We start from the raw sequence: 14,084 nt of genomic DNA on the forward strand, positions 1-14,084 counted from the left end.
TCAGAAGTCCTCCCGTCTCCTCTGGCTGTCTGCCTTTCATCTGTGGCGGGGGGAACTTTCATCCTAATTAAGGGTCCTCTTAGAATAGTGTCATCTTCACAAGCAGCATCTTATGTGGGTTTTTAATGAACAGCGTTGCTGTCATGCATCCAGAAAGGAAATTGGAACTGTTGTATCCTCCCCGCGACTTGCCCTGTAAGCTCTGATCATTATTCTGCAAGTTAAGGAACTTAAGGCCTAAGCAGCATTTCAAATCAAGGGACAATAATAGAACATGGGCTTAATGGGTGGCAGGGCCACGCAGTTATCTTAGGTTCAGATGACCTTTTTCCTGCTCCCATTTTGTGGGCAGAGTCTTTTGATACTCAAGATCATGACCTAGCTAAATTAATCCCTAAAGAGGACATCCTTCGAGTCACAGAATGTGGCCTGGGAATCATTTGAAGTAAGGCTTTTCTCTTACTGAGTAACTCTCATTGGGAAGACTAGAGGGCTTAGGTAGGGTAAGAGGGGCTGCCTCTTAGTGGCTTTATTTAGGTGGCTTCATTATGCATGAAGATTGTGAGGGAGGATAGAACTTTTGACCTAGGAAGTGGATTTTCTTTTCTTTTTCTTTTTTTTTTTTTTTGAGACGGAGTCTCACCCTGTCACGCAGGATGGAGTGCAGTGCCGTGATCTCGGCTCACTGCAACCTCCTCCTTGTGGGTTCAAGTGATTTTCCCACCTCAGCCTGTAGCTGGGACTACAGGCACACACCATCACACCCGGCTAATTTTTGTATTTTTAGTAGAGACGGGGTTTCACCATGTTGGCCAGATTGGTCTTGAACTCCTGACCTCAGGTGATCTGCTCGCTTCGGCCTCCCAAAGTGCTGGGATTACAGGCATGAGCCACCGCACTGGGCCGGAAGTGGATTTCCTTGACGTCTTTACGGTGTTGGCATTTTAAATGGCTGGGATGACTGCATCTCACACCAAAATGCTTTGCATGTTCTCGGTGTAGTAACTTAGGCCAGGATCACTAGCATAATGTGGACTGTGGCCGGGCAGGTATGAAAGGGAAGGGGGCCGGCCCTCTGGGATCTCGCAAACTCCATGTACAGACCTCACGCAGAGGGGGTGCTGTGACTCTGCCCCTGCTCTAACAGGCAAGAGCATCCTTCTCCTTTTTTTTTTAAGAGAAGCTGGAAAATCTGGCTTCATATATGAAATTTCTTAATTTTTAACATGTTGGCAAGTAATTCAAACGTAGAAAAAAAATACTGTGCTTTCGAAATGAAATGTGTCTATGGGCCAGGGACATGCCCCTGCTCTAACAGGCAAGAGCATCCTTCTCCTTTTTTTTTTAAGAGAAGCTGGAAAATCTGGCTTCATATATGAAATTTCCTAATTTTTAACATGTTGGCAAGTAATTCAAACGTAGAAAAAAAATACTGTGCTTTCGAAATGAAATGTGTCTATGGGCCAGGGATAGCCATCTTCTGTCAGTTTGTGACCTTGGACGTAGGGTACTCAATGACAAACTTCGCTTCCTTAATGTAAGAAGCAAAGTTTGCCATGAAGCAGCTCTCAGGCCATCGGACAGCTGGCATAGAAGTTCCTCCACCAGCTTTCTCATTACTGGTATTCCCTCTTTCTCTCTCTAGGTTGGGAATAATGACATCGATGATGTAAACATCATAGTTTTCCGGCAGATTAATCAATTTGATTTAAGTGGAAATGTGATCACTTCCTCTGAATACCTTCCTACATTATGGGTAAGTCCAGACTTTTAAGCTCCAAGTATTGTGTTCCCTTTGGCTTTGAGACAAGTACGAATGGGATGTTTTTGGGTTTGTGCCTGTCTCGTGCCTTAGGTGTGACAGGTGGAGGTGCTCCAGAGCGCCGCCTGCTGAGGGTTGAGGTTGAGATTTAAGAACCTTGGACCACAACACGTATTTGGGAGAGTGATTGCCAGTTGTGGGAGAGAATGTGGTCCAGTTTCAGATAACTGTCTGCCATCAGTTAATCTTCCAAAGAATTATAGTAGAAGCCTGATCAATGATCAATACAATATGGAATCTAACGTGGAAAGCCAATTTTAAAGAAAGCGCCTTGTAACTTAAAATTTTCTCTGGAGTGGAGGTCGTATTAAATGTTCTTGCATTGGTTTAAAGAAATGCCTGAGGCTAGATAATTTATAACAAAAGAGGTTTCATTGGCTCCTCGTTCTGTAGGTTGTACAGGAAGCATAGTGGTGTCTGCTTCTGGGGAGGCCTCAGGAGGCTTCCAATCATGGCAGAAGGTGAAGTGGGAGCAGGCATGTCATGTGGGAGAAGCTGGAGCAAAAGAGAGAGTTGGGGCATGGTGCCACACACTTTTAAATGATCAGATCTCACAGGACTCATAACGAAGACAGCACCAAGCCACGAGGGATCCACCCCAAAGATCCGATCATCTCCCACCAGGCCCTACCTCCGGCACGGGGGATTACAATTCAACATGAGATTTGGGCAGGGACAAATATCCAAACAGTATCAGAGGTGGTGGACGGTGGGCTGGAGAGCAGGTGGTCTGGGCTTTCTCTTGTCTCCAGTAGTGACTCACCTTGCTGCCTGGGCCAGTCACTTCATTTCCACATGCCTCGACTTCGTCCTCTGCAAAACCTAGATTTTGGACTCAGAGACCTCTTATAATCTTGTTCAGCTCTAACAAAATCTCCATGTTACCATTAATGAAGAAATGTTTATAAAATACCCTGCAGACCCTCTACGGATGTTAGTGATTTGCTCTGGGGGTACATTGTTAAGATGCACTTGTAATTTTATAAGCAGTTAAGTATTTGGCATGGGTGAGAAAGTGTGTGTGCGCTTTAGTCCACTCTGTTCAGGGCTTGCAGGCGTGTGCTTGTAGGGACCAGGCAGGTAATGTCAGAGAGTGCAGAGGGTTGGGTAGGGTGGGGGGCAAACTGGGGAACTCCTGCCCCATCCATGAGTGGCACAGGGGAGGGGAAGAGGCAGAGAGGAGGGGAGGGCGCCACTCTCTTGCTCCTGAGTGTTGCTGTGCTAGAATTGAGGCTCAGGGTTGGTGTCACTTCCCAGTTTTCCGGAGAAGCTGGAAATTAGAATTATTTGAAATCACCTGATTTTTAAATATAGTCGGTGAATTCAGATTTACTTAAGATGTTATAGAAGAAAAAAGAACACATAAGGGATCTTCAATGCGACCCATAACCTTCAGTCTGTGACTTTCATTTTAGGAAAATTCCCCTTGTGTGTTATGTAGAAAGGTGCCAGTGTGGGCCCAGGGAGGTGGTCCTGGCATTCTCTTGCGGCAGGTGCACTGTGGCATCCTCACAGCCTTTGCCATCAGCCAGGGCTGCACCTTAACCCTGCTCATGCCCCATGCCGTGTGGGAGTGAGAACAGGCAAGAACCCCAGAAATAAAGCCAGAAACAAAGTACTCCAGTGCCTCCTGAAGCAGCGTGGAGAGCCACGTACATGATGGAATGCGTTTTGAGTTTAACAGATTGGTGGAGTTAAGGTGACATCATATGATGAGGCAGTGCAAGGCGGGAAGGACCCTCAGGAGTCGTCAGGGGGTTGAGTCCCAGGCTCTACCATGTGTAAGTTGTGTGACCTTAGGTGACTTTGGCTCTCTGGGTCTCCATAGGGATAATAACAATACCTGTTTTGTAGTCAGGATTGGCGATAATGTAGATAAAATATCTGGCGCCTGCCTGGCATATTACAGATGTTCAACACGTGTTAGAAGCTATTTTTAATATTACTATTATATTAACTTATATTACTATTTTGAGCAAGAACATGGGTAGTCAGAATCTGATTTGAATCTTAATTTCTGTGCATGATACATAACTGGATGGAGTCTCAGATGACAGAGGGATGTGTGATGTCTATGGAGGGAGCTTTCTTTTTCAAATATCCATGTTTCCAAAGACACCCACCCAGAAAGCGGCTGTCCTGAGGATGTCTGCTATGAAATATTGATTGTGTTTCAGTTTCAAAGCATGTCTGACTTTGTTTCTCCCTCCAGGTCAAGCTTTACAAAAGCGAAAACCTCGACAATCCAATCCAGACAGTTTCCCTTGGCCAGTCCCTGTTCTTCCATTTCCCCCCACTGCTCAGAGACGGCGAGGTAATGCCTGTGGCCGGATTCTACCTTCTGCCTTTGTTTTAATAATTCTGCTGTTTAGTTTAAGGAAGCACAGTTCTCTCCTTTTCTCCCTAAATACCACTCTGCAGAAATACGCTCTCTGAATCAAAAGAGGTTGGGTTCTGTAGGGATTATTTTTTCTTCATTGTTTTTCTGTTTACAAAAAGAATACATATTCATGGCAGGAGATTTTGGGAAAAAGAAGACATAAGCCCATCATCCAGAAATAGCCACTGCTAACACGGTGATTGGTATCCTTTGGGTCTTTTTTCAGGCACGTGTGCGCATGCATGTATAAATATAAATAGACATTTATTTTAATAATTCAAAACTGACACTGTTTTGTACATTGTTTTGTAATCCGTGCTTTTCAATGAAGAATTTATCACAAATCTGTTCCTCATCATCAAATCTTTCTTTTTTTTTTTTTTGAGACGGAGTCTCGCCTTGTCGCCCAGGCTGGAGTGCAGTGGCGCAATCTGGGCTCACTGCAAGCTCCGCCTCCTGGGTTCACACCATTCTCCTGCCTCAGCCTCCGAAGTAGCTGGGACTACAGGCGTGTGCCACCACACCCGGCTAATTCTTTTTTTTTTTTATTTTTAGTAGAGACGGGGTTTCACCATGTTAGCCAGGATGGTCTTGATCTCCTGACCTCGTGATCCACCTGCCTCGGCCTCCCAAAGTGCTGAGATTACAGGCGTGAGCCCCCGTGCCTGGCCAAATCTTTCATACTATGATTTTTATGGACAGTAGTCCATAAACTAGGAAACGCCATGATTTATTTAACCAAGGCCTACTGTTGGGCATGATCGACTCTTGCACTTTGAACATATCACCCCATGCTTTCCTGCTAAGAAGTCCACTTTTAAAAATGCCTTGTAATTTTTAAAAATTCCTCTATTTAACATTCTGCTATTGAGTTTAAGGAAATACAGTTTCCTCATGATGGGGGATCCCTTGAATGAGATGAGTTGCTTTTCTCTTGCTGCTTTGAACGTTCTCTCTGTCTTTGATAATCTGATTATAACGTGTGTCGTGTAGAACACTTGCAGCTCCACCTTTTCAGTGTCCTTTGGGTTCCATGAATCTGGATGTCTCCCTCCTTGGAACTGGGAAGTTTTCAGCCATTATTCTGGCCGTCATTTACTGATTATAAAGTGCTTATTATCAATTCTATTTGGACAGAGCTAACTTGTAGTTGGTGTGGGGAGTGCAAACTTTGCAAAGAATTTGGTTCTTTTCTGGTGGTCTTAGCCTGAGGATGTCAAGTGTGAGCCTAGAGGGTGACGTTTCCTCTCCTGGCTCCTTACCACCTGCCGTGAAGATGATCTACTCTGGCCTTTCTCTGTGGAAAATGGCTGCAAAATAATGAAACAGGCTGTCACGGAATTTTCTCCTCCTCTTTCTCCAGGGGTGTTGAAATAGTCACTTCCTACAGCGATGCGGAAACATCTTGGGCTTTGGGGTCACACTTCCCCTGAGTTCAGAGCCTTCATAGATGTGTGGCAGCCTTCTTAGCTGAGTGACCTTGGGCAAGTTACTCTTAGTCTCTTCGTGCTTGACTTTCCTCGTCTATAAGACGGGGTGATGATCCCGACCTTGCCAGTGGTAGAAAGCAAAGCAGCCGCGGGCCTCATGCAATGTGCATGGTGCCTGGCAGCTGGTCGGTGCTCAGCACACAGAGCTGTGATGGGTCTCATGCAATGTGCATGGTGCCTGGCAGCTGGTCGGTGCTCAGCACACAGAGCTGTGGCTGCCCCTGGTGCCGTTCCAGGGATGCTGTATTTTTAGGATTTGCCAGCTTACGAGCCTCTCAAGCATCGTCCCTTTGAAGTCAGCCCCGTTGTGGATCCTCAGTTGTATCACGTACCTCCCTCATCAGAATTGGCTCATAATAATTTTTTGTGTTTCATAAAGTCAGATCCTCAGAGGACCGTAATTGTCAAGGTTGGGTACTCATAAAAAGGCTGCAGGCTCTGACAGCCTTATCAGAAGCCACAGTCTCAGAGACACTGGGGACACATGCCCGCCACTGATGGAATAGCCCGCTGAGGTTGATACTTTGAAGGCAGCAACCTTGGTTTGGATGTGTAGTCTTGGGGATTTCTTTAAAAACATAAAGTTCTTTACATCACAGCCATACGTTAGGTTTTAGTTTTCATTTGCTTTGCCAGAGCTGTCCTTGTAAAAATAACTTCTTCCCATGTGTGCACAGAACTATGTTGTGCTTCTGGACTCCACACTCCCCAGATCCCAGTATGACTACATCTTGCCTCAAGTTTCTTTCACCGCAGTGGGCTACCATAAACACATCACCTTGATTTTTAATCCCACGGTAAGTAAAAGAGGGAGTTAAAAAAAAACCCATGGGCTGGGTTTGGTGGCTCACGCCTGTAATCCCAGCACTTTGGGAGGCCAAGGCTGGTGGATCTCTTGAGCCCAGGAGTTTCAGACCAGCCTAGGCAATACGGTAAAACCCCAACTCTACAAAAAATACAAAAATTAACCGGGCGTGGTGGAACGCACCTATAGTCCCGGCTACTCGGGAGGCTGAGGTGGGAGGATCACTTGAGCCTGGGAGGTTGAGGCCTCGATGAGCCATGATCATGCCCCTGCACTCCAGCTTGGGTAACAGAGTGAGACCCTTTCTCCAGAAGAAAAAAAACAAAACAAAACAAAACCAAACAATCCATGGGGTGGCGAAAGAAGGCATGTCCATACAACCTGTGCTCCAGATCGCAGGTTGCAGGGCAGATATTTAAAGGGCTCCTGGCATTGGGTCACTTTCTCATTCTGCCTTCTGGATTCTGGGCTTCCCCAGATTGTTTTTAGCTTTTCTGAGCACTGATGCCTGCGATTCCCTTTGAGGAGGAAACTGGTAATAAGAGCAGTGTAATTGTTTAGATCGGTGGCTCAGGAATGATTTTGGGGGAGGAGGGACACCACTATCGCTGGTGTGGCGTGTGCTTCTCCATGAGGGAGCACATGGTACATGGCCACGCAAACCTCTAGAACCAACTGCTACTTTACAGGAAATAGGGAGGACCCAGGAGCACGCAAATGACTCCACAGGGATGCAGGACAACCACCTGGAGCCTGATTTGTTTGACAAATAAATTGCAAGGAAAAAAAAACCAACAACAGATGGACAGAATACCTGTGGGTTAAAAGAAACTTAACTTATCGCTTAATTCATTGCAATATGTGGCCCTTACTATTTGCAATATGTGTATCTGTTGCATACGGTCTGTCCTGTATCCGATAGGCTGGAACAGTGGAACAAACAAAACATACACGTATCTTTTACCTTCTTGATAAAATTGTTTAGTGATTCCTAAAGCTCAGATGCAGTATTGTCACCTGATGATTAAACAGACACATCAGCAATAGCAAAAACAGAGTCCAGGGCTCAGCCTCAGGACTGCTGATTCTGAACTTGACGGGGTGAAAGTGTAGCACAGGAGTCTGCATTAAAAACAAAAATCTGGCCTCATAGCTACTGTGTTGGTTGTTGCTTCTAGGCCTTTTCAGTGGGCAGAATAAGAACTTTATTGTTTTCAAAAAATGTAACTGTAAGTGGAACAATATCCTCCGATCCTCCTTTTTCCTTTTTTGATAACGACACAGCATTCCTCTGTGTGGATATACCGTGTGTCTTAGGCCATTTGGGCTGCTATTTTGTATCTTAGACTGGGTAACTTATAAACAACAAACATTTATTTCTTACAGTACTAGAGGCTGGGAAGTCCAAGATCAAGGCATTGGCAGATTTGGGGTCTGGCGAGGGCTTGCTGTCTGCTTCATAGATGGTGCCACCTAGCTGTGTCCCCACAAGGCGGAAAGGGGCAAACAAGTTCCCTCAGGCCACTCTTACGGGGCATTAATCCCTGACTTAATCACCTCCTAAAAAGGGTGTCCTCTTGACACTATCACATTATGGATTAGGGTTCAACCTATGAATTACGTAGGCACAGACACATTCAGATCCTGGCACTACATGTAGGATATTCAGTTAGCCCCTGGTTGAGGGGCGTTTGTGTTGTTACTGGTTTTCTGCTATTACACATAACCCTTTAATGAATTGCCTTACGCATGCATGTTTTTGAGTGTTCGTCAGTCTCTCTTTGGAATAGACTCCCAGAAGTGGAATTGCTGAGTCAAAGGGTAAATGCATACGGAATTTTGATTGATACGGCCACTTCCCATCCATGGGGGTTTTACTGTTTTATATTCCCGCCAGCAGTGAATGAGTACCCTTTTTTCCCCAACAGAGTATTTTGTCAAATTTTTCAATTTTTGCAGGCTTATAGATGAGAAGTGATATTATCTCAGTGTACTTCTAATTGCATTTCTCTCTTTTCATGTGGTTAAGAGCCATTTGTATTTTCTGTGAACTATTTAACCTATTTTTCTATAGAATTTTTGGTCTTTTTCAACCATTTTCAGCTCTTTGTATACTAGGAATATTAACCCTTTGTAATGTTTGTTGTACATATTTTTCCCAATTTGTCATTTATCTTTTCACTTGGTTTCTGCAAAGATTTACTTTATTTCTATGTTAAATGTGTTGATTTTTTTCTTATTGCTTCTGGATTTTAGAGTCATAGGAAGGTTTTCTTCATTCCCAGCTTTTACAGGAATTTATTGTGTTTTTTTCAGGCAGACTTTTATAGTTTCTGTTTTTACATTTAAATCTCTCTATCCATTTGGAGTTTTTCCTGGTATAGATGTGAAGTATGGCTCCAGATTGTCTTTTTCCACATGCTATCCAGTTACCATTTCATGCTTTTCAAACGCCATCCTGCATGGAAGGTGGACAGGAATTACCTTTCATTTAGAGATGAGAAGATGGGAACCTAGAAGGAGATGTGAGCAGCCCAAGGTCACCAGCTCACGTGGAGCAGTGCTAGGGCTTGAGCAGAGCTCTGCTGCTGATTCCGGGCTTCTGTGAAGAGTGATTCATGCTCAGTGAGCCTGTAAATATGATCTTACCTGAACAAGAGAGTTTTTCTCATGACCCACGAGGAAACACTTCCTTGTTACTCACAGTAGAGACCTGGTTAGAAAGTGCCGGAGAGGGCTAGGTGTGGTGGCTCACGCCTGTAATCCCAGCATTTTAGGAGGCTGAGGTGGGCAGATCATTTGAGGTCAGGAGTTCGAGACCAGCCTGGGCAATGTGGTGAAAGTGAAACCCCATCTCTGCTAACAATACAAACATTAGCCAGGCGTGGTAGCACGCACCTGTAATCCCAGCTACTCGAGAGGCTGTGGCAGGAGAATTGTGAACCTGGGATGCAGAGTTTGTAGTGAGCTAAGATAGCCCCAGTGCACTCCAGCCTGGGCGACAGAGCAAGACTGTTTCAAAAAAAAAAAAGAAAGTGCCAGAAAGATAAGCATATACAAGAACCACTTACCTTTGCTTGGGGCTGCACTGTGGCCCCAGTTGCTGGGAGAGGCTTCTGTGAAGGCCGTTGATAGCTGCAGGCAGTGACATTCTCAGGGGCCCCTAGCAGACAACTCATCCGGGCTCAGGGACACACCTGGGAGCCAGTGGCAGGAATGTGGAGACACTGCTTGGTGGTGGCCAAGCAGCCCAGCCTCGTAGCTGCTGCCTGTCACTTCTGAGAATGTAAGAAACTGTGCCCTGGTGTGTGATGTTCCCCTTCCTGTATACCTATGTAACTAACCTGCACATTGTGCACATATATCCTAAAACTTAAAGTATAATTAAAAAAAAAAAAAAAAAAAGCTATGCCTGCTGGGGCTTGGATTCCCGAGCAGGGCCAAGTGTTGAATGAAGAGAGCGCCCACTCTGTGCCACCCCGTACAGGGCCCTCACAGGTTGATCCTCACAACAAGCCTTCGAGCAGGTGTGCCATTCCTCCCATTTTCACAGAAGCCCAGAAAGATTGAGTCACTTACTGAGTGTTAGCAGAACCAGGACTCAAGTGAGGCGGTTTGTCTCAAGCCACATGGTTTCCACCTCGTTCTGCCCTCCGCGTGATGAGTGGCTCAGCTTTGCACGTTCACGGGGGCTTTGTAAGCACATTGGTTTCCTTCTTTGTTGATGTGACTGCCCACAGCCTCGCGACTGGATTTTACTCAGTATTCCATGCCCTGCTGAGCATTTCACATACTCCTTTCATCAAGTTTCACAGCATCCACCCCCAGTGGGTGTTGTTCATATGATCTCCATGTCATAGTTGAGTAAACTGAGTCTCAACGTGGTTGCCTGAGTTTACCCAGTGAGGCCTGGGACCTGAGCCTAGACTGAATCACTCTAATTCCTGCTGAATTAAACTTTTATTTATTTATTCATTATTATTTTTTTCTGAGACAGAGTCTTGCTTTGTTGCCCCTGCTGGAGTGCAGTGGCACGATCTTGGCCCACTGCAACCTCTGCTTCCCGGGTTCAAGTGATTCTCACCTCCTGAGTAGCTGGAATTACAGGCATGCACCACCACTTCTGGCTAATTTTGTATTTTTATAGAGACGGGGTTTCACCATGCTGGCCAGGCTGTTCTCAAACTCCTGACCTCAGGTGATCTGCCCACCTCAGCCTCCCAAAGTGCTGGGATTACAGGCGTGAGCCACTGCACCTGGCCTGAATTAAACTTTTAAGTAAGTGTTTACTTCAGTGGAAAAATGGGTTGGGTTCTAAGAGATGTCCAAAGATACAGGAGTAGGCAGTTGTTGATGGAAATCTGTTCCTGCCCTTATTCTTTCATTTATGAAAGGGCATCCCAGGTACAGCGGCGCCCACAGTCACTCTCTAGCCCAGCAGTTCTCGGATGGGTTGGTTGCAGGACCCCTTTATACTGTTAAAAATTATTGAGGATTTTAAAGAGTTTGAGTTTGCATGGATTATCTCTGTGTATATTTATCATATTAGTAATTAAAACCGAGATGTTGAAAACGCAAGAACTCACAAGCTACACATTCCGTTAGCTGTGGGCGTGATGACATCAGGGTGCGTAGTCTCTGGAAAAGTCCACTGTGCGCTTGCGAATGAAAGAGGGCGGAAAAGGCACATCACATCTTACTATTGGCTGAAAATAGCTGTGGCCTCGGGAACCTCTGCGAGAGGAGTCCCGGTATCCTACACTGAGAACACTGCTCTGGCTCATTAACTTGTTTTTATCATTATTGGGAAGTTCTCCTTCCATTTATTTGCTTCCTTTATGAGAGTAGAGTGGGCCAATGGGATATAGGTTCACTTGATGCTTTAGAACCCAGCATTTCAGGGGCTTTAGCAAGATGGAAATGTCTGTCTCATGTCAAGTGTCCAGGAGTGACCAGTGCAGAGATAGTCTGGTAGCTCCAAGGCGTCAGGGGACCCAGGCCCCTTCTGTCTCATTGCGCTGTTCCAGTGCATTGCTTTTCTCCAAAATGGGGCAATTGGCCAAATGCTGTCTGCCCAGCAAAAGGGAGGGCACACCACTTCCCTAGGGTCCAGCCAGGGTGTGGCACTTACCGCTTCTGTTCCTGTACCATTGGCCAAAATTTAGTTCCAGGGCTGCGCCTGCTGCAGGGGAGGCTGGAAAAGGTGATCTATATTGTCGGTGGCCCAGATAAAAGTTGGGGGTTCTATTGGGAGAAAGGGAGAATGGCCACAGGGATGCTAGTAGCAGTGCCTGCTTTGCTTCCTCACTAGACCGTACTGGCTGGGAATAGCTGCCCATCACTGTGTGCCCTGGGTCTAGAACTGTAGGTTCTTGATACATCCTTGTAGGACTAAGTCCCTGCATGTTGCTGGGACTCAACAAACTGAGACCCAGTTGCTTTTCAACCACCAAGACTCTCTGATAGCTGCATCTCTTCATTTCCTCAGTTGGGAGGAGGGTCCAGAGGCTGAGGAATGCCTTGTCATTGGAATCTCTTTGTCCCTGAGTTTCAGAAGCAAATAGTGAAGCTTTGGGCAGAAGAGGATTCATGGGAAAATATATCCAAATCACTTTGGTTCCTTCCTTTGGATAGAAGGAATTTGGATCATGAGGGCCCCTGGGTGTCCTCAAGTGGCCACTTTGGAAGGCTGGGTGGGTGGTGGCTGTGGCATTGTGGATGATGGACAATCGTGTGGCCTTGGTGAGGAGTGATGGGGCTCTCGGTGTTTGCAGAGGAAGCTGCCTGAACAGGACATCGCACAAGGATCCTACATTGCCCTGCCATTGACGCTGCTGGTTCTGCTGGCCGGTTACAACCATGACAAGGTAGGAAATCCAGAGGCCTCAGGAGATGGCGGGCATGTCAGGGAGAGCGAGTCCTCACAGCTGCAGGAGTGATAGCAGAGGGATGTCCAGGGTCACAGAAATCACATTTCCGGGTCGGGAGGGCCCGTGAAGGCCTCAAGTCCAGACTTAGGTCTCCTTTCAAGGCTGTAAACTTCTGTAACATCTCCTAATCCTTAAACCTGGAACACCTCTAGGGACATATTAGGCCCGGAGAGAGGCCAGCCCATCCCTGGGGACTCATTAGTAAGAGGCCTGCCTCGTTTGAACTGAAACCCACCCATTAGCACGTGGCAGCTGCTGATCATGTCTGAAGAAGGTGTGTTGAGAAGTGAGGCTCCGCTGTTCATCTGGCAAAAGCCTCCTCTTTGTACCCCTCTCTCTCACACTTTCTCTCTTTTCTAGCTCATTCCTTTGCTGCTGCAGTTGACAAGCCGGCTACAGGGAGTCCGCGCGCTCGGCCAGGCAGCCTCTGACAATAGCGGCCCAGAAGATGCAAAGAGACAAGCCAAGAAACAGAAGACAAGGCGGACTTGAGGAGGAAGGGGACAGTTGCAGTCTCACTTGGGACAGGCCACAGCCAGGGGTCCGGCCACTACCCGCCCGTGGGATAAAAGCCAAAAGCATGCGTCAGCTAACTTCAGCCTGTGCTGCTGGGCCCGCACCCCATGTCCCTTGTCACTGTGGCATCCTGCACCCATCCTCACCCCTCCGTAGAGCCCCTCGTGCAATGCAATGAATGGACCCTCCTGTCACTCTGCTGAACAGAATTTATTTTCTGAGTCAAATATAATTTATTATTATTTTTGTCAAAGAAGTATTTAAGCTGTGCTGTGGTGTGAGAATGTCATTCTTGATCTTCAGCCTTCGTTTGCAAGGAGAGTTCCAGTTGACGTGGTGTTTGGTTCCATGGCGGGGTACCCTAGGGATTCATCTGTTTTCTTCACTTCCCTTTGCATCTGAGATCCTGCTGGAAACCACAGCAACCTGTATCCACTATTAGGAGGTAAAAATCAATAAAATGGCCCATTCATTTGTGTTGTAGCTCATCATAGATGTATTTCTTGGATGACATGCGCGTAACCCCCGGGGGTCTTCAGTTGAGCCAAATGTAGAGCAAGTCAGAGTCCTGAGTGAAGCTGGCTGGGGCAGGAAAAACACGAGCTCAGCCGACATGGTCCCCAGCAGCTTTTGGCGTCAGTGATAGAGAAATCGGAGATAGTGGAGGTTGTGGCAAGTTGAAGTGTGCCCACCACGTCTAAGGGAAGCTTAGGGACTCAGCTCTGGCTCACCCCTGCTGTGCAGAAATGTGCGTTCATTTTTCTAGAGAAGCCAGAAAAACAAAGATTTACGTGAAATTTTCCCAATTTTAAATGTTAGCCACAAATGCAGTGTTTTTTTAAGAAAACCACACACTTTGGCCAAACAAAATGCCTACGTCGGCCGGGTGAGGCTTAAAGGTTGCCGGCTTGCATCAGAGATCCAGAGGAAGTCACAGCATTTTAACAGCTAAACTTAATCCTCACAGGAAGTCATCAAGTGAATTAAGTGATATTGAAGGAGGGGACACATCCATCCATCCGACATTTATTGAGTGCCACATAGGACAGGCATGGGTATGTGAGGATGAGTAGGGTAGACAACACTCTACAGCGAGCTGGAAGAGGCCAGGGAGGCCCCGTCTGCCTTGTTCTTCGTACCC

General features: G+C 46.4%; 1 protein-coding gene across 1 annotated transcript in view; it reads left to right on the top strand.

The window, feature by feature from the left end:
- Positions 1–13,431, top strand: part of NOMO1 (NODAL modulator 1) — a 62,437-nt gene extending 49,006 nt beyond the window's left edge. Inside the window, exons 27-31 of the mRNA NM_014287.4 lie at positions 1,646–1,756; positions 4,035–4,136; positions 6,370–6,489; positions 12,272–12,364; positions 12,788–13,431. Of these exons, the coding sequence (NP_055102.3) occupies positions 1,646–1,756; positions 4,035–4,136; positions 6,370–6,489; positions 12,272–12,364; positions 12,788–12,919 (558 nt within the window). The 3' untranslated portion in view covers positions 12,920–13,431. The remainder of the gene's footprint in view (positions 1–1,645; positions 1,757–4,034; positions 4,137–6,369; positions 6,490–12,271; positions 12,365–12,787) is intronic.
- The last annotated feature ends 653 nt before the right edge of the window (positions 13,432–14,084 follow it).

Source organism: Homo sapiens, chromosome 16 (assembly GCF_000001405.40).
Source record: "Homo sapiens chromosome 16, GRCh38.p14 Primary Assembly".
Taxonomy (NCBI): domain Eukaryota; kingdom Metazoa; phylum Chordata; class Mammalia; order Primates; family Hominidae; genus Homo; species Homo sapiens.